The 19,136-nt window shown below is 55.8% G+C and overlaps 1 protein-coding gene across 27 annotated transcripts, besides 6 other annotated features; it reads right to left on the reverse strand.

The window, feature by feature from the left end:
- Positions 85–18,630, reverse strand: RASGRP2 (RAS guanyl releasing protein 2). 27 transcript variants are annotated; one of them, NM_001440705.1, is made up of 18 exons: positions 17,916–18,000; positions 15,968–16,111; positions 15,184–15,286; positions 14,613–14,675; positions 14,339–14,425; positions 14,122–14,253; positions 13,187–13,337; positions 12,810–12,983; positions 12,534–12,647; positions 9,927–10,208; positions 9,077–9,154; positions 8,716–8,838; positions 8,286–8,401; positions 3,227–3,368; positions 2,936–2,972; positions 2,037–2,216; positions 470–534; positions 85–305 (listed from the first exon to the last, which is right to left on the reverse strand). In NM_001440705.1, the coding sequence occupies exons 2-17, from the start codon at positions 16,038–16,040 to the stop codon at positions 476–478; spliced, it is 1,914 nt and encodes a 637-aa protein (NP_001427634.1). In that variant the 5' UTR covers positions 16,041–16,111; positions 17,916–18,000; the 3' UTR covers positions 85–305; positions 470–475. The 27 variants fall into 27 exon arrangements, with proteins under 27 accessions (NP_001427634.1, NP_001427632.1, NP_001427628.1 ...); NM_001440703.1 differs by having other exon boundaries at positions 470–537; positions 12,534–12,650; NM_001440699.1 differs by lacking the exon at positions 14,339–14,425 and adding an exon at positions 17,507–17,656 and having other exon boundaries at positions 12,534–12,650.
- Positions 12,261–12,810: an enhancer, noted in NCBI's record as "H3K4me1 hESC enhancer chr11:64506559-64507108 (GRCh37/hg19 assembly coordinates)". NCBI's record gives its function as "activates a minimal SCP1, AML or CMV promoter by ChIP-STARR-seq in primed H9 embryonic stem cells {active_cell/tissue: H9 hESC(primed)}" and the evidence as "EXISTENCE:reporter gene assay evidence [ECO:0000049][PMID:30033119]".
- Positions 15,983–16,312: a silencer, noted in NCBI's record as "silent region_3482". NCBI's record gives its function as "represses an Ori minimal core promoter by ATAC-STARR-seq in GM12878 lymphoblastoid cells {active_cell/tissue: GM12878}" and the evidence as "EXISTENCE:reporter gene assay evidence [ECO:0000049][PMID:35858748]".
- Positions 16,623–16,672: a silencer, noted in NCBI's record as "silent region_3483". NCBI's record gives its function as "represses an Ori minimal core promoter by ATAC-STARR-seq in GM12878 lymphoblastoid cells {active_cell/tissue: GM12878}" and the evidence as "EXISTENCE:reporter gene assay evidence [ECO:0000049][PMID:35858748]".
- Positions 16,833–16,882: a silencer, noted in NCBI's record as "silent region_3484". NCBI's record gives its function as "represses an Ori minimal core promoter by ATAC-STARR-seq in GM12878 lymphoblastoid cells {active_cell/tissue: GM12878}" and the evidence as "EXISTENCE:reporter gene assay evidence [ECO:0000049][PMID:35858748]".
- Positions 17,873–17,982: a silencer, noted in NCBI's record as "silent region_3485". NCBI's record gives its function as "represses an Ori minimal core promoter by ATAC-STARR-seq in GM12878 lymphoblastoid cells {active_cell/tissue: GM12878}" and the evidence as "EXISTENCE:reporter gene assay evidence [ECO:0000049][PMID:35858748]".
- Positions 18,233–18,432: a silencer, noted in NCBI's record as "silent region_3486". NCBI's record gives its function as "represses an Ori minimal core promoter by ATAC-STARR-seq in GM12878 lymphoblastoid cells {active_cell/tissue: GM12878}" and the evidence as "EXISTENCE:reporter gene assay evidence [ECO:0000049][PMID:35858748]".

The raw sequence follows: 19,136 nt of genomic DNA on the forward strand, positions 1-19,136 counted from the left end.
CTGGCTACAAAGTTCTAGCTCCCAAGATTGTCATCCTGTAAAGTATACCATCCCCCTACCCCCCGGGATTCTAGGCGCTGATGGTGAAGGTTAATTACACGGGCCTTTTTATTCCATCTGGAAAATACAAATATTCACAAGAGTCTGTACAACCTTAGGGACACCAGCCCTGGCCCTGCCCTCAGCTGCATGCCACCCTCATATCCCACCCCCATCCCCAGCCTCCTGCCCCGACACCCCCAGGCTCCCTGCTCTGGTTGAAGTATTTTCTCCAAGGCAGGAATGAGTCCTTGATCCAACCACAGCTGGGAAGAGAAAAACAGGTTGTGAGGAAGACACCCCCCTAACAACAAGGTAGTAGCCCACCTGGCTTGGAGCCATTTGGATAAAGCACCCATTTCCCTGATACTCCCCAGCTCCCCCCCAGCCCTCAGTGGGGAGCTCTGGTGCCAGCTGTGGGAGGACTCACCATCTATTACAAGTGGATGTCAAACACCCCATCCTCCACCGTCTGTACCTCCTCCTCACGGATCTCTGCTGGGAGGGGGATTGCTGCAGAACACACTTCCAGGTCCCTGGGACTTCATCAACCCTTCCCCTCTCCACGGGAGGCATCCACATCATCCCAGAAGCAGACCCACCCACCAAAAATCAATTCCCTGCATGACCTCACAGCCCAATTTTTTTTTTTTTTTTTTTTTTTTGAGACAGAGTCTCTCTCTGTCGCCCAGGCTGGAGTGCAATGGCGCAATCTCGGCTCTCTGCAACCTCCACCTCCCAGGTTCAAGCGATTCTCGTGCCTCAGCCTCCCAAGTAGCTGGGATTACAGGCGCCTGCCACCACGCCCAGCTAATTTTTGTATTTTTGTATTGTAGAGATGATGTTTTGCCACGTTGGCCAGTCTGGTCTCCAACTCCTGACCTCGGGTGATCCACCCACCTTGGCTTCCCAAAGTGCTAGGATTACAGGCGTGAGCCACCATGCCCGGCCTCAGCCCAATTTTTGAGGCTCTTTTTCTATGTTTTTGTTTTGCCACAGCTTTTTCAGCCACAGATTTGTCAGCGCAGTTTGCTTAAATGTCAATTTTGTGTGTATTTCACATTTTAGACCCCAGCACTTCTGGAAGGCTCAATGCAAATGGATTTATCTTTTCTATTTTTGAGGATGTATGCCCTGTGCCTGCCTCTGTTTTTTGAGGACTTATGCCAACCCAAACAGTTGTGATCAACTACCTTAGACCCCAGTTTAACATAGTTGTTCGGACTGTTCTCAGCAAAATAATCATTTGGCCAGTTGTCATTCAGCAAACTGACCTAAAACCATCAAATACCCCAAGAGAGCTGCCAGGACATTATCAGGGCAAGGGACTTTCCCCAGAAGAGCCTCCAGAGCAGCCAGAAAGGGAAAGGCAAGCCAATGGCTCATATAACACCTTCTCCAATCCTTTGTTAACCCCTCCAACAAAATAAGACTGTAACTGGAATCTTGAAGCCTCTTTCACTTTTATACCTCTTTATAAATTAGGGTCTCTCTCCTCAGCCTCAGAAGGTCCAGGGCTTCCTGGCCACTTTCTGGCACCCTTACCTGTCCCTTCTTTATTTTTTATTTTTTTTTTTTCTGAGACGGAGTCTTGCTCTATCGCCCAGGCTGGAGTGCAGTGGCGCGATCTCGGCTCACTGCAAGCCCCGCCTCCCGGGTTCATGCCATTCTCCTGCCTCAGCCTCCCAAGTAGCTGGGACTACAGGCGTCCGCCACCACGCCTGGCTAATTTTTTTTTTTTGTATTTTTAGTAAAGATGGGGTTTCACCGTGTTAGCCAGGATGGTCTCGATCTCCTGACCTCGTGATCCGCCCGCCTCGGCCTCCCAAAGTGCTGGGATTACAGGCGTGAGCCACCGCGCCCGGCCTGTCCCTTCTTTATTATCCCACCACAAAAAGAGAATTATGCACTTTGGAATGGCTTCCATCCTGCGTTCTTTGCCCCAGTAGCCCTGCATCCTTCCCTCCACAGGCCAGTACAGAATGACTCCCTCTTACCTGGAGGCCTGGAGCCTCGCCTGCCAGGGCGGGGCAGAGAGAAGCTGAAGGCGCGGTGATGGTGGCTGTGCATGGGTGAGGGTGAGGGTGCAGACCCCTCCAGGCTCACACTCTGGGCCCTGCGCCGACACTCAACTGACAGGCGATCCTTGCACTGCTTGTGGCAGTTCACTCCACAGGCTGGGGGAGAGCAAATGGAGAGCCAGCCAGGGACATTGGTCAGAATACCCTCCATCCCATCCCGCAGGCTTGTGCCCCCCTACCAGGAACCTTTGTTCCTGAGCAGCTGCCCCACCAAAATAAGAGTCTCCTTCCAAAGTGTTCTCCTCCTCCTAATTGTCAGTCTATGCCTTCTCCCATGTTCTCTGTTCCTGGGCAGCTGCGTCATCAAAATAAATGGCCTCTTAAACGCCACTCCCTTCACATCAGTCATCTTGAGCCTCTGATTTTGTGGGGTTTTGGTTTTGGGGGTTTTTTTGTTGTTTTTTTTTTTGAGACAGAGCCCTCTCTGTTGCCCAGGCTGGAGTGCAGTGGCGTGATCTCGGCTCACTGCAAACCCCGCCTCCCAGGTTCAAGCGATTCTCATGCCTCAGCCTCCCAAGTAGCTGGGATTACAGGTGGGTGCCACCACGCCCAGCTACTTTTTGTATTTTTAGTAGAGGCGGGGTTGCGCTATGTTGGTCAGGCTGGTCTTGAACTCCTGACCTCAGGTGATCTGCGCGCCTCGGCCTCCCAAAGTGCTGGGATTACAGGCTTGAGCCACCATGCCCGGCCATGCGCCTCTGATTTTAAGGTACTTCACTCCTTGGCAATTGCCCCACCAAAACAGTAACTCTCCCAAACAAACAAACAAAAAAAAAAAACACTGCCCAGCAGCCCTTCCAGTCATTCCATCTCACCTCGGCATTTGAGGCCCTGCTTGTAGATGCCCAGGATCTGCAATAGAGGAGGGGCCGTGGTGGGAGGAGGGATTTAGAGGTGATGACTCTACTTCTTCCTTCTTGAGGGTGAGACTAGGGCTTTAGAGCCCGCCTCAGGGCCCCGGGCAGAACCACAGGAGGAGAGGCAAATAGAATTACCAGGTTTTCCTGGCTTGAGAAGGGCTCTGGCAGAGGCGGGGCCAGAAGGGAGGGCGGGGCCGGGGCTGGAGGGGCGTGGCTTGGGCCGTGAGCCGGGAAAGGGACTCTCACCAGGGCTTTGCAGTGGCGGCAGGCGACGGGGCGCAAGGAGTTGCTCTCCTGGAAGTTGTGTACGAAGCCCATGCGCCCCCCCAACACAGAGCTGGAGCGCAGGAAATAGGAAACCATCTCCTCCCTGCTGATGCAGCCATCCCTGTGGGGAGTTGCGGGGGCGCTTCAGCTCGGGCCCTCCCCAGAACCATCCACCGCTGGCCTAACCCATCCCACTGTTCCCAGTGTCCTCATGGAACTCCTGATTTTGGACTCCTGTTGCAGAGTAAAGAAAAGGCGGCACTGGACTAGGGGTCAGGCAGATGTGGGAAGTGCCGCTAACCAGTGTGTGGTCTTGGGCCAGTCCCTTTCCCTGGGTTCCTTCTCAGAACAGTGGCCTGTCCTGCCCACTTCACACTTGGTGTGCAAACTAAAATGACTGTGTACTTTCCATGGAACCATCAGCCTCGGGCTCCCGAAGTGTACTGTGTGCAACACCAGTCGGGAGCCCTCAGCAGGGAGAACTCTCTAATGAGTTCTGGGACCAGGAGAGATTGGGAGAAATCGCATCCCTCTCTCTCCTGCATCATCCTGCTGGAAAGACAGCTGTAAATCCAGGGTTTCCCACATAACCCAGGGCTTTCCGCAGAAGCCCTTTTTCACCTATGAATACATTTTAGGGAAAGAATGAGCACGTGTTCTAGACACAGACCTCAGTTCAAATCGCAGCTCTACTTCCCTGCCTCTTGACCTGTAGCGGAGTAATCTCCCTGTCCCTCCGTTTCCTTATCTATAAATGGGTGTAATGATCATTCCTACATTTCATAGGATTTTGGTGAGGATTAAATTAGATGATGCATGTGAAGTTTTACAACAGTGTCTGCACAGATAGGAGGGTCCTCAGCCACCAAGTGCTATTCCCATCGGGACTGGCCCTCGCTTGAGACTCCCACCTGCTTATGAGGGGGCTCATAATGTGTGATCCAGGTGGTCCATCAAATCAAGGGAGCATTAGGATAACTGGCTATCTGAAAAAAATATAGGGCCGAGCACAGTGGCTTACGCCTGTAGTCCCAGCACTTTGGGAGGCCAAGGCGGGTGGATCACGAGGTCAGGAGTTCGAGACCAGCCTGGCCAACATGGCAAAGCCCCGTCTCTACTAAAAATACAAAAAATTAGCCAGGCATAGTGGCAGGCACCTATAATCCCAGCTACTCGGGAGGCTAAGGCACGAGAATCACTTGAACCTGGGAGGTGGAGGTTGCAGCGAGCCAAGATCATGCCACTGCACTCCAGCCTGGGTGACATGGCAAGACACCCTGTCTCAGAAAAAAAAAAAAAAAAGAAAAGATATAATAATTTTATAATCTTGAGGGGCTGAGGGCCTTTCTACACAGAACACAAATCCAAGAAGCCAGAAAGGAAAAGACTGACATATTGAGCACACAAAAGTTTTTAAATTTTATATGGAAAAAGACAACATAAATGACAGACAGGGAGAAAATATTTGCAAACACATTCAACAGCAAAGGGTTAATATCCATTAACAGAGATTCTAAAAATCAATGAGAAAAAGACCAACAAACCCAGTAGAATAATGGACAAGGAATCAGAACAGGCAATTGACAGAAGAAATAAATGGCCAATAAACATATGAAAAGATACCCTACCCCCATTAGTATTAAAGAAATGCAAATTTAACCAAGATACCATTTGCCAATGAGACTGGCAAAATTGTGAAGCTTTTTATAGCATCCACTGTTGGCGAGGAAGTTGGGAAGCAGGCACTTGTACGCTGCTGATGGGGGTGCAAACTGGTACAACCTTGTCTGAGGTCAGTTTGGCAGTCTCTCTCCTAATTTAGAATGTGCATATCTTTTGATCCAATTATCCCACTTCTAGGAATTTCTCCTACAGAAATACTGGCCTGAGTGGATCAGTAAAAGGACGTTCATGGCAGCCTGGCATAGAATCATACTGAAAAACTGGAACAGTCTAACTGTCCATCAGCAGGAGGATGGTTAGGGAAATGATGGACTAACCGCACAGTGGAATACTCTGCAGCTGTTCTAACGAATGAGGTAGTTCTACATGAATCCACATGGAAAGATGTCTGTGATCAAGGGTTAAGTGGAAAACAAGCACAAAGATGAAAAAAAACAAAAAGCAAGGCGTGAAGTTCTGTCAAGATGGTGATTTTTAGGCCGGGTGCACAGTGGCTCATGCCTGTAATCCCAGCACTTTGGGAGGCCGAGGTGGGCAGATCACCTGAGGTGAGGTCAGGAGTTCAAGACCAGCCTGGCCAACAAGGTAAAACTCCATCTCTACTAAAAATACAAAAATTAGGCCAGGTGCGGTGGCTCACGCCTATAATCCCAGAACTTCGGGAGGCCGAGGCGGGCGGATCACCTGAGGTCAGAAGTTCAATACCAGCCTGCGCAACATGGTGAAACCCCATCTCTACTAAAAATACAAAATTAGGCTGGGTGAGGTGGCTCACGCCTGTAATCCCAGCACTTTGGGAGGCTGAGGCTAGTGGATCACGAGGTCTGGAGGTCGAGACCACGGTGAAACCCCGTCTCTACTAAAAATACAAAAAATTAGCCGGGCACGGTGGTGGGTGCTTGTAGTCCCAGCTACTCCGGAGGCTGAGGCAGGAGAATGGCATGAACCCGGGAAGCAGAGCTTGCAGTGAGCCGAGATCGCGCCACCGCACTCCAGTCTGGGTGACAGAGTGAGACTCTGTCTCAAAAAAAAAAAAATACAAAATTAGCCAGGCATGGTGGCGCGCGCCTGTAATCCCAGCTACTCGGGAGGCTGAGACAGGAGAATCACTTGAACCCGGGAGGCGGAGGTTGCAGTGAGCCGAGATCACACCACTGTACTCCAGCCTGGGCAACAAAGAGCAAAACTCCGTCTCAAAAAAAAGGAAAAGAAAAAAAAATTAGCCGGGTCTGGTGGCCAGTGCCTGTAATCTCAGCTACTTGGGAGGCTGAGGCATGAGAATTACTTGAACCTGGGAGGCAGAGGTTGCAGTGAGCCAAGATCGCGCTATTGCACTCCAGCCTGAGCGACAGAGTGAGACTCTGTCTCAAAAAAAAGAGAGGGTGATTAAAAAAAAGAAAAAAGAAAAAAGAGAACCCACTACAAGTACCTAGATGCTGCCTAAAGATATATCAACAATTGCTGTAAATGCATAGATAATTTTGTAAGAAAGAAATGGAAACACCCAAGTTCCAGAAACAAAGAGGGAGCTTTACAATGAAGTGGTGAGCTGGGCCTGGTCCTGGGAGCCGGTGCTGGTCTCCCTCCTGCCGAACCAGGTGCTAGGTTTTGATACCCAACCAGGGCTTCCCCCTCACCAACACACACACACACACACACACACACACACACACACACACACACACACAGCCTGGGGCCTGCAGGAGGTGGAGGGTTAAGGCTGAGACCGCTGCATGAAGCTGAGGCCTCCATCGTCTCAAAGGGTCATTCTCACTGAAAAGGTGGTCTAGATAAAAATCCACCCACCAACCCAGGGAGAAAACATGGAACTCAACTACCTCTGCCTAAAATCTGGGAGAAGAAATAAAGCAGCTATGATAAAAGCCACAAGCAGAACTAGATTTATGCTCTAATCCTGTTTGTCCATGAAACAGACACCAAACAAACAAAATCTCTATCAATGTGCACCTGCCTGGGAAAAGAAGACTGGAAGAATCCACATACTGCCAAGCTTAATATTGTTAACAGTGCTTAATCATGGCAACTTCTACCAGTGGAAAAGGAAAGAGGGGACTTTCATTTCTTCCTTTTTTTTTCTTTTTTTTTTTTTTGATGGGGGTGATCTCGCGCAGTCACCCAGGCTGAAGTGCAGTGGTGTGATGACAGCTCACTGCAGTCTCAACCTCCTGGGCTCAAGGGTTCCTCCTGCCTCAGCCTCCTGAGTAGCTGGGACTACAGGCACGTGCCACCCATGCCCAAAAAAAATTTTTTTAGGCTAGGAGCAGTAGCTCATGCCTGTAATCCTAGCACTTTGGGGGGCCAAGGCAGGTAGATCACTTGAGGTCAAGAGTTTGAGACCAGCCTGGCCAACATGGTAAAACCCCATCTCTGCTAAAAATACAAAAATTAGCCAGGCACGGTGATGCATGCCTGTAATCCCAGCTACTCAGGAAGCTGAAGCAGGAGAATCACTTGAACCCAGGAAGTGGAGGTTGCAGCGAGCCGAGATTGTACCACTGCACTCCAGCCTGGGCAACAGAGTGAGACTCTGTCTCAAAAATAATAATAATAATTTTTGTAGAGACAGGGTCTTACTCTGTTGCCCAGGCTGGGCTCAAACTCCTGGCCTGAATTGATCCTGCCAACTCAGTCTCCCAAAGTGCTAGGATTACAGGCGTGAGGCACCGCACCTGGCCTCTCACTTCTTACTTTAAACATTTTGTTCACTATAAATTTATTTTACCACCTAGATTTTATTTTACCGTGGATTTTTGTAATGTGGAAATAAAAAACAACAGATTTTTGAAATACAGGTAACATTAAAAAATAAATCGACCTGAGATGGACTTTAAATTTTGAATGGAGTTTTTTCTGCTCAGCAAAAATAGGGCATGAATCTGGCTTCAGGGGGCATGTTTAACCTACTTCAGAGAACCAGCTGTTTTTCCAAATTGTCAGCATATGAACTGTTGATAAACAACTGGGTACTGCTAATTACAAACCTTTCTTATCTATTCATTAGAACAGACTATCCAGGAGCTCAAGTTGCCCACACTTCTTGACAGCTGTGAGCTCCACAAATAAAACAGCACTTTTGTAGCCACAGTCCCCAGGTCACAGTCTTTGCAAGACTCAGGTGGAGCCCCCCATCTGTCTGAATTTGTGAGATACCACTGCGCCTCCACAGCTGGCAGCCTCTCCTCCCCACAAAAGCAAGTGCCCTTTCCCACACTGGCAGCTTCCCAGGCCAAGATCATCTGGCTCAGTGACCTCATCTTGCACACAAGAAACTGAAGCCCAGGCAGAAGTGGGCTGAGTTGCCTTCCCTCTCCCCCAGGTCCCCAGCCCTCCTCACTGGTTCTGGTCGAGGTCCCCAAAGGCGCTGAGGTAAGGGAAGTTCCCACGGATGATCTGGAATTCTTCCTGTGAGATGTGGCCATCCCCATCGACGTCAAAGTTCCGGAACACAGACTGGGGCACGCAGAGGGACACGCAGAGCCAGAAGAGGGGAGAGTAAAGGGGACATCAGGTCCTGTCCCTTCCCACGTTCCCAGTCCATTTGATGAGGTGTGTCTCAGAGAGGTCTCTGACACCACCCCCGTTCCATACCTCCACCCCCACCCTACCCAGGGGCACTTCAGCCCCGTGCAGCTGGCCTGCCAGGCCCTGTGACTCCTAGGGGCTGAGTGCTGGGTCTTGAACAGGACACTCGTGCTGGCTTCCAGGGCAGTGCTCCGGCAAACTGGCCTCTCCCCACACACTGCTCAGGCTCCGCAGGAGCTCACCTCCACCATCTTCTCGATGTGCTCCACCACGAGGGCCTGATCCAGCTTGGGTTTGGCAGCCGAGGTCCACTCCTCCAGTACCGGGGGCCGGGGTGGTGGGGTGCAACTCGTGGGGCTGGTTGGCTATGGAAATGGTCGGGCCTGAGCTAGGGCCAGAGGCAGGGGAAGCCCAGAGCCCCGGGGAACAGAGAGGGGAATCCCTGGGAGAGGGAAGTCTGCCCAACACTACTGCCCTACCCCCAGGATGCCTCTGTCCTACAAGATGGATGGGTGAGGTGGCTGCTAAGAGCTCTTCCCATCCTCACATCCTGGGATTCTCAGGAGGGAAGGGCAGAGTGGAGAGGAGGGAGTACCCCCTCACCGAGGACTTGGAGCGCGGCTCCCGCTGCAGGGACAGCTGGTACAGCTCATCCTCCGTCTGATACTGATCCAGAGACACCTGGGACACACAGATCTGATCACCCCCACTGGCCCCTGCCCACAGCCACAGAGCCCAGGGCCAAAGGTCGACCTAGAGGCCACAGCTCAGCTCAGAGCTCGGGTCAGAAGCTAGACTCAGGACAAAGCCTGGCTTAGAACACAGCACAGCAACCCCCATGTCATCCCAGCGCACAGATCAAACCACAGCATGGCCCCAAACCTTGAACACAACATATTGCCAAGATGTCAGGGAAGAAGCCAGGTCGGAACCCAGCCAGAAGCTCTGATTTCAACCCTGATCCCCTCCAGAGCCCAGAAGCAGCTAAGAATCCACTCCAAACCTTAACACTTAAGCCCCAGCCCAATGTCTAGAACCTTGTCTGGATCTAAACCAGAACCCAACTCCCACCCTAGACCCCAAGACCAAGTGTAAAGCCAAGCCCAGAACTTCACTCCGAGCCCAGGGCCATGCTTAGAAACCACCCCTGCCCACAGAATGCAGAGCTTGGCCCAGCCCTAGAACACAGCCCATTGCCAGAACTCAACCCGGGACCCAGGCCCAGTTCAAACTGCCCACAGTCCACATACCAGCCTGGAGATCAGACCTCAGTCCACAGCCCCAACCAGAGCCTGGACCCCTTCTCAGCATCCACTCCAAACCCCAGAGCCCACGCTAGATCTCAGTTTCTTGGCCAGAACCCAGAGCCCCAGGCCACGCCCACAGCCAGGACCTGGGGAAACTGTCAACCCCTGGTGCCCAGCTCCCCACCTCCCTGCCCCCTGCTCCTCACCGTGAGCAGGCTCAGCAGGTCGGGGTTGGCCTGTACTGGTGGCCGCAGGCTGGTCACCATGGCCAGCTCCTCCAGGATGCTAAAGAGCTGCTTCATCTTGGCCCCGTTGAGCCGGGTCCGGGCTGGGTCCAGCCAGTCAGGCAGTGCCAGCTGCAGGGCCACCAGGTCCTTGAGGTGCACACCCAGGATCGGGAAGCGGAAGCCCACACAGGCTGCCAGCCGACGCCGGTAGTTGCCATAGTTGCCTGTCGCCGTCACTAGTTCCGTGAGACCCTCCCAGAGCTGGGGACAAAGGACAGAGGAGTCATACCCCCACAACTATCCTCCCTACCTCAGCCCTGGAAATGTAGGAGGGGGTGAGGAGGAGTCAGGGTCAGGGACAGGTGAAAGAGTAAAAACCTCCCTTACTGTCCCCCACGACTGGCTCTCTCAGCCCCTGGGGATTGAATTCATTGCCATGAATTCAAGGCAATACTCACTGCCAAAAGCACCACACCTCTAAACCAGGCCTGGATGCAGGGAATCATCAACATTTAACAGGAGAAACAGAGGCTCAGGGAGGCAAGGCAGCACAGGACAATGACCTGGAAGAACATACTCAGCCACCCCGTCCAAACAGCAAAAACTGGAAAAACCAGCTGGGCGTGGTGGCTCACACTTGTAATCTCAGCACTTTGGGAGGCCATGGCAGATGGATCATGAGGTCAAGAGATGGAGACCATCTTGGCCAACATGGTGGAAACCTCATCTCTACTAAAAAAATACAAAAATTAGCCGGGTGTGGTGGTGCATGCCTGTAGTCCCAGCTACTCAGGAGGCTGAGGCAGGAGAATCGCTTGAACCCGGGAGGCAGAGGGTGCAGTGATGCAGTGAGCCAAATTAGCGTCACTGCACTCCAGCCTGGCGACAGAGCAAGACTCCATCTCAAAAAAAAAAAAAAAAAGAAAGAAAAAGAAAGAAAGAAAAGAAAAGGAAAAACCCCAACATTCAACAATAGAATCAATACATAAATTGGGGTAGGCTGGGGGCAGTGGCTCACACCTGTAATCCCAGCACTTTGGGAGGCTAAAGCGGGTGGATTGCCTGAGCTCAGGAGTTCAAGACCAGCCTCGGCAACATGGTGAAAGCCTGTCTCTACAAAAAATTAGCCAGACGTGGTGGTACGAGCCCATAATCCCAGCTACTCAGGAGGCTGAGGCACGAGAATCACGTAAACCCAGGAGACGGAAGTTGCAGTGATGAGATCTCGCCACCGCACTCCAGCCTGGATGACAGAGACAGACTCCATCTCAAAAAAATAAATAAATAAATGAATTGGGGTAGACGTACAATAAAATATTATATGGCAATGAAAATGAAAAAACAATTGCTCCACATGACAGAATGAAAAGACTCTCAGAACCATGTGGAATGAAAAAAGCAAGACATAAAATAACACAAACAACATTCCATTCATAGAAAGTTCAAAACAGACAACAAAAAGCCCCACATTGTTTTGGACCGCATACCTACATGGTGAAGCTATAAAGAAAAGCAAGATCATCATTGCAAAAGTCGTGGGGAGGGAGTTATGCTCTAAAGTGCTGGGCGCTTGGGGGCCTGGCAAGGTTCTATTTCCCAACCCGGGCAGTAGTTACACAGTGTTTTCTTTACAATTTTTCTTTAAACTATTCATATGTTTTTATATACTTTTCTTTTTTTTTAGATGGAGTCTCACTCTGTCGCCCAGGCTGGAGTGAAGTGGCACAATCTTGGCTCACTGCAACCTCCGCCTCCTGAGTTCAAGTAATTCTCCTCCTGCCTCAGCCTCCCAAGTAGCTTGGATTCCAGGTGCGTGCCACCATGCCTGGCTAATTTTTGTATTTTAGTAGAGATGGGTTTCCACCTTGTTGGCCAGGCTGGTCTCAAACTCCTGATGTCACGTGATCTGCCCACCTCAGCCTCCCAAAGTGCTGGGATTACAGGTGTGAGCTACTACGCCCAGTCTCATATGTTTTTATATACTTTTCTATATGTATGTTACTCAATACTTCAAAATACTTCAAAAATAATAAAAAATGAAGGAGAAAGAAAAGAAGAAACTACAAGTGGCAAGGCACAATGGCTCAAGCCATAATCTCAGCACTTTGGGAGGCCAAGGCAGGCGGATCACTTGAGCCCAGGAGTTCAAGACCAGTCTGGGCAACATGGCAAAACCCCATCTCTAAAAAAAAAAAAAAAAATTAATAACAATACAAAAATTAGGCATGGTGGCGTACACCTGTAGTCCCAGCTACTCAGGAGGCTGAGGTGGGAGGATCGATTGAGCTCAGGAGTTCAAGGCTGCAGTGAGCTTGTGACTGCACCACTGAACTCCAGTCTGGACAACAGAGAGAGAGACCCTGTCTTAAAAAAAAAAAAAAAAGTACTAGCTTTGGGGTCCCTGACGACCTGTGAGCCCCCACTCTGCTGTTGCCATTGTGCAAACTGAGAAAAGCACTTAACCCCTCTGAGCCTCCATTTCCATATCTATCAAATGAGGACAGCTGTGCCCAGCCCCCAGTGCTGCTGGGAGGACCCAGTGAAGACAGACCTGGGAAGCACCGGCCCCTCCCCAGTCCCAGGCACCTTGATGGTCTCAGGGCTAACGTGGCTGTGGGTCTCCTTGAGGCGGGAGATGGAGCTGTGGCTCAGGCCCCCGACCACTGCCATCAGCGTGTTGAAGTTCTGCAGCTGTAGCAGCTTCTGGAAGGCAAATGGGGACGGAGAGGCAGGGAGTCACTGAGTGGGCCCAGAATTTGGCCCAGCTTATCTAGAGAGAAGGCAGTGGGTTAGGGGAAGGGAAGGGTTGGCCTGACTGGCATGTGGGGTGGTTGGGAGACACCGGGAGGGAGGGGCAGGCACCTCCGCCACGTGGACAAAGTGTGTGATGACCAGGGCCCGCTGCGGGGCTGTGGGTTTGCTGAGGATCATGAGCTGCACCCACTGTGAGACGCTGTTGAAGAGGGAGATGAACCGCTCCAGGACGGGGTTGTCCACAGTGCAGCCATGAGTCACGAAACTGTGATAGTCCTGAAACTGGGGGCATGAGGAGTGGCCTCAGCACCTTGCTGGCCTCTCCCCTCACTGATAGCCACTCCTCACCCTCCAGCTGACCTTCAGTGGTTACACTGAAACCCCTGATGCACCCTGTGACCCAGCCTACGCCAGGGACCCTGCCCCTCCTAGAACTCTCTTCCAGCCCACATTGGACCCCTGACCCCCCAGCCCTCGGGCCGCACCAGGATCTTGCAGAAGGAGCGATACTCCAAGTAGGTGAGATGCTCCGCCAGCTCCATGGGCTCCAGGTGGTCAAACAACAGGGACATCTTGCGCTTTTTCTGTCCCACAGGGTTCCGCTGAGTCACCTGCCGCTTCCACTTGTAGGTAGGGCTGGGGGGGCAGGGGTAGTGAGCCCTTTGCTGGACATGCGCATGACTCGTGGCCCCCCACTCACACAGACACACCATTCACGCTTACTGAGAACCTACATAATGCGAGGCACTGTCCTAGGCACGAATGTTCCCAGTCCCAGCAACTCCTCCTCATCTCCCCCGACCCCGTCATGCACTCAACACACATTTATGAACAACGTACTCTGTGCCAGGCACTGTGCTAGGCGCTGGGAATACAGAGATGAGTAAGACACGGTTCCTGCCCTCGAGGAGCTCACAGTCTACTGAGGGAGACAGACACAGAAACACATGATCACAAAACAGCGTGACACATGTACAGAGGTCTTTGTACAGGAGTCTGTACAAAGTGCCATGGAAAACAGAGGTGGGAACGACAAATTCTACCCCGGAAGAGCCCCGAACCCTCAGAGCCCACGGAGACTTCATGCCTGAACTGAGTCTTGGTAACACGGAGGAGGCAGCAAGGGGGATGATATGAGCAGAGCACCATGATGAGAAAGGACTCGAGAGCTCAGCCGACGGGGAGCCGACCCAGCGCAGCTACAGGAGGAGGTGTGTGGGATGGGTGGTGGCAGTGGAAGATGAGGCAGGAACGCCAAGCTGCCCAGAGGAGGCATGTTGAAGGCAATAGGGAGCCATGGAAGGTTTTTAAGCGAGAGAGCAACATGACCCTCACTCATTCAGTTCAACAGACATTTATTAAGCACAGATGGTATAGGATACTGAGTGCCCCCCCAGCCCTCTGTGCTCCCCCCACGCACACGCTGTCTATGTCGATTAGGCTGCTGTGCCGTCGGTTCCCTTCTTGGTCTAGCAGAGCCTTCAGCTCCTTGATCTGCTCAGCCAACTCCGGGTTCAAGTCAAACTCCGCTGGGAAGGCGGAGATCCAGTACCTGGAGGAGCGGGGAGTCACCCAAGATAGCCCTTCCCCCACCATCACCCAGCAGGCTGCAAGGAGCTATTTGAGATTATAGTCACCTAAGCAAAAAGACCCTCAAACTATGGTTCCAGCTCTTTCCTTCGCCACTCCAAGTGTACATTAGACCCTTGAGACAACCACCCGCACTGCGCAGAAAAGAAAATTAAGGCCCAGACCCAGGAAGGGGTGAGCCTGTGGCAGCACTGCCCACCCGGACAAGCCAGGGTTCAAACCCACTCCCAGAAACAGCGCCCTGCCCCCTCCTCCAGGCCAGCCTGAAGCCAGAGAGAAGGGAGAAAGGGGAGGGGCTAGAGCCCCAGGGGAAAGACTCACCTGACCAGGTGGCACGTTTTCACCTGCAGGGAATTGGAGTTGTCCTTCCGGGATTGTTGGTAGGTGAAGGAGAGGGTTAAGGAGGCCGCTTAACTCTAGAAAGGGAGGCCTGCGTGGAGGGAGGCTGGGGGCGGGGCCTGGTTCTAGGAGACACGTTCTAGGGATGGGGCTTGCGCTCTGCGGAGATGCTGGGGGTGAGGCTTGAGCTCTGGGAGGGGTTGGAGGTGGGGGTGGAGGACTAGGTGCTGAGGGAGGCTGAAAGCAAAGCCTGGGCTCTGGGAGAGAGAGATGCACGGGGCGCACCCAAGCCTGAAGCAGGGGCAGGCCCCAGACTCTAGGGAGAAGGAGGGCAAGGCCTCGGCTGGGGACAGAGCCTGGGGACAGGACCGAGTCGCTAGGAGCAAGGAGGGGGCAGAGCCTAGGCCCTAGTTGGAGGCTGGGACGACGCCTGAGCTCTGGGATAAGGAGTGGCCTATACTTAGGAGCGAGGCTCATTCTGCACCTGGGCTGGGCAGAGGGGCTGCGCATGGGCTCCGACGGCGGGGGCCTTGGCAAGGCCGGCGAAGGATATATGTGGAGCAGCTTGGCCGCCAGCTGAGAGGAGGGGATGTACCAGGGGTGCATCATGAGGAACATGCGCACCAGCTGCGGGTCCCGCACCTTCCCGGAGTCATCTGACTCCGAAGGGTCAAAGACAGGTGGCTGAGCTGGGTCCGCAGCTACCATGCCTCATCCTCACCCCGCAACCCGCCAGGTATCGGTCCTTCGGGTGCACGCTCGACCCCGCCCACCTCCTGCTTGCCCAGGACTCCGAGAGCAGGAGGCAAATTAGAGAGGAAAGGTGTGGTGGGCGAGAGATAGGCACGCCCTGAGGACTGGAGGAGGGGAGCGCCCGAGCCGCCCATCGTCCGGAGGGGAACCAGCTGGGGCGGAAGGAGCCTGGGTTCCCCGGGGTCAAGAATCCAGAGGTCATTTCCTGAGCGCTTGGGGGGAAGGGGCACCCCTTCACCAGATAAGCCGCCCCCCATTAGCCGGAAACAGCTCCCAGGCCGGAGATAGCGAGTTCCTCCGGATTCCCCGGGAGACAGATAATGCCCCTCAAGTGTCAGAGTCCGGGACCCGGCCCTCCCTTCGCCGCCGCTGGGGAAGGCTAGAGAAGGGAAACCTCATCTGTCTGAAGGGCGTGCATCTCTCTGCCCTGCGTTGCGGAGGAGGCTTTCGTTAAAGAGACTGCACGCTGCGGAGCAGGGTGGGTCCGGGTCAGGGCTGTGCCCTGGACTGTGCCTGGGAGGCAGGGACCCGGGCTCAGACTCGGGGCTAGGCTCAGGCTCCGTGTGCCCTCCCGAGCCACTCACCGAAGGCTTCGATGCACCCGCGGAGCAGCTCCTCCACCGTGCAGCCCTTGTCCAGGTCCAGGGTGCCTGCCATGGCCGCCGGCGCGGGGTGGGCTGGGCCCAGGCTGCGCTCCGGGAGCCTCCCACCGGGCTCGGACCGAACCCCTGTCCCGGGAGAGGCAGAGCGGGAGTCTGCGGAGTCGCGGGCGGGGGAGCGGCCCCGCGGGCAGAAACGGGGCGGGGCGGGCACGCCCCCTGCTGGACAGGGGCGGAGTTGTCCCCCGCGGCCACTCCCGGGGTTAAACGGTCTGGCCCGGGATGGTGCAACCCGCCAGTTGGGAAACGGACCCGCAGAGAGGCTTCCGGCCCACCCTCGGAGTCGCGGGAAGGCCGAGGGGCTTCACGAGGATGGGGACGAACCAAGATCCCAGGACTGGCTGGCGCCCAGCCCCCCGCAGGGCGCCTTCTCCTCGCGCCCTCTCCCCAGAGGCACCTGCAGCACCCCGCAGCTCGGCTCTGCGCCCCTCCCGCTTCCCTCCCTCCACAGCCTCCCTTCCCCCGCAGGGTTATTTTGGGAACCCAGAGCCTGAGGGGACCTCGGAGGAATTTCTCCCTGGTATGGGAGGTGGGGGGAGAGAACCCAGGCGTCCTGCCCGCCTCGCCCCCTCCCGGGAGCCCAGGAAGGCGAGGCGGGGCTGCGGCAGCCCCCAGGGGGCCTGCCCTAGGGGAGGCGGACTGGATGGGAGAGGAACATTCCTGGGGCGGGGGGAGCCCGCTGCGGCCAGGAGGCGTCAGCGGGAAGCCTGAGCCTGGGAACTGAGCGCTCCCAGGCCACCTCCGCAAAGGTCCCAGGGGTCCCGGCTCAGCTTGTCCACAGGCCCTCTTCCTCCCTATCCCCGGCTCCTGACCCTGGCCCCGGCCCCGCACAGGCGAACTGTGAGCGCGCACGGAGCAGGGTGTCCAGAGGGGGGCGCTCGCGCCAAGGGTGGCCGGTGGGTGCATGACACCATTAGCAACTCCGGTCACTGGCGGGGTCATACGCACCCTGGCAGGGGCAAACACTCCACACCCAAGTTATTCGTCGGAGGCCGGGGACCTAAGTGGAGGTGCAGGCGTCCGCACTTACACGCACCGGGCCACAGGCACCGGCCTCCCATCCTCCGTCTCTCACACACAATGGCACCCACACCCTGTGCACACCTGCACGAAGAAACCCTCAGGCACACATACCCAGCTCGTCCACCCCAGAATGCAAACCCGCGGACGAGGTCGCCTCCTGGACGTGCTGTTCACTTGAGCCAGGCCAGCCTTGAGTCCCGCGGCCACACAGGCGCTGACATCCTCACACGTGTGCACACACGCAAGGCAGTGCCTCTCCACGCATGTACACTCCCACACACATGCACACACCCCCATGGGTGCGCACGCCCATTCCGTCGCCCCCCTCCCATTTGCGGTGCAGGGCCCGCCCTGCGGCCCCAGCTCCCTGACTCCCCTCACTCCCAGATTTTGGCAGAGCCTTGCCCCACGGAAAGGTACCCCGGCCCTACACATACTCACTCCCCCAGGCTGGAGGACAGGGGAGCTCCTGTACGGAGTTCTCAGGCGGACTTTTCCTAAGAGCCACCCAGAGCCGTCCCCGCCTGGCTCTACCGCTTCCTCGTGTGACCTTGAGAATCACTTGGCCTCTGGGAGCCTCAATTTTCTCATCTGCCAAATGGGGGTACGCGGGGGAGGGCCCCGCTGGAAGGTGGCTGGGAAAAGCTGGGTGCACCGTGGAGGTCCTCCGCCCTCCGGGGATCCAGCGCGCCTTAGCTCTCGTGGCCGCTGCCCCCTCTCCCAGACCCGGGCCGCAGACTCCCCACCCGCTCGCCGCCCCCAGCCCGCCCGCGCCGCCCTGGGCGGGGGGGGAGTCGCTGGGGGCCGCGCCCTCCTTCGCCTGGCGCCCCGCCCGCGCTCGCCCACTCACTCTTGGGACCTGCCGCAAGGAGCCCGCACCGGCCTGGCCGACCCCACCTCCGTGCGCTCCCGCCCGCCGGCCTCGCTGCGGCTGCGGCTCCCGCCCGCTCTCCACGCCGCGGCCCCGCTCCCCGCCGCCCCGCCCCCGCCCCCGCGCCAGGCTGCCCCCTCCCCCCTCCGCCCCTGCGCGGAGCTCCGCACCGCCGGCTGCGCCACCCCCACCGGGGGCTCCCTCTCGCCCCGCACGCGGCGGTCCCTGCGGCAGCTTAACCCCTCCCCTGCCGCGCCGCCCGGGAGGCCAGGGCCGCGGGCGGGGGGCTGCGCCACTAGCTGCCCCGAGGGCGGGCGACCGGAGGCCCCGCCGCCCGGGACGCGGAGGGGGGACCGAAACGAAGAGCCCCTCCCCCAACCGCGGACGCCCCAGTGCCCCCCGCCCTGCCTGGGTGTCGGGCGGAGGAAGCCGGGAGGGGCAGGAAGCGGACTGCGGTGGGGAAGGGGCGCCCCGCCCAGCCCCCAGCTCGGGTTCCTGTTTTCGAGACAAACCGTTCCCATGGGGCTAACCCGGCCCGGGACCGGGCGTCTTCCTGCAGGCAGCGGGTGGCACAGGCCTAGTGGAGGTCGGGGGCGTGGGGACAGCTGGTCCTTGAGATAGTCTGGGGGATGGGCTAGGACAAGATGGGAATATTTTGGGGAGAGGGACCTGTGGGGAGCGAGGAATGAAATCGTGGCTATCTGGAGACGCGGCCTTGATGTCTGGGAATGGGGGCGGGGGGCCCAGTTCACACAGGAGGAACGGGGCCCCGGAAGCCTGGCTCCCCACAGGGTCGAATGGAAAGGGGCAGCCGCATGTGGCGGTGGGTTCTCCGCAGCTCGGAGACTGGAGACCTGGATGCCTGGCCAACAGGGAGGAACTTGGGAGGGGCAGCCGCAGGCGGTTGGGGTCCCCACTAGCCGGGCCTAGGAGAGCGGGTAACGGTTTCCGACCATTTGGCTTCAGACACACTCACTGTGAAACCACCGACCCCAAACCTCCCTTCCGAGGCGTGCCCCTCCCAGCCTTGGGGCGGGGGATCCAGGACCGCCCCCGCACCTCAGTCTTGGTAATGTAAGACTTAGAAACAGGACCTTTCTGTTCCTCAGTTTCCCCATAATGAGGGCCTAGACTAGGCGGTCTGCGAGTGTTCCCTGCCGTAACACTCCCCCGACTTTGGATCCAGTGTAGCCACCTGCT

Source organism: Homo sapiens, chromosome 11 (assembly GCF_000001405.40).
Source record: "Homo sapiens chromosome 11, GRCh38.p14 Primary Assembly".
NCBI classification, from domain to species: domain Eukaryota; kingdom Metazoa; phylum Chordata; class Mammalia; order Primates; family Hominidae; genus Homo; species Homo sapiens.

Bases quoted from the DNA above. Each gene is read 5' to 3' on its own strand.
- RASGRP2 (XM_011544718.3), bottom strand. From the start codon at position 17,500: ATGTGTAGGGCCGGGGTACCTTTCCGTGGGGCAAGGCTCTGCCAAAAT. The intron at 8,839-9,076 runs GTGAGGGGGTAC...CCATTTCCATAG, and splicing joins AGCCGCGCTCCAAGTCCTCG to CCAACCAGCCCCACGAGTTG. The intron at 538-2,036 runs GTAAGAGGGAGT...TCCCCCTCCCAG, and splicing joins GCGAGGCTCCAGGCCTCCAG to CAGAGATCCGTGAGGAGGAG.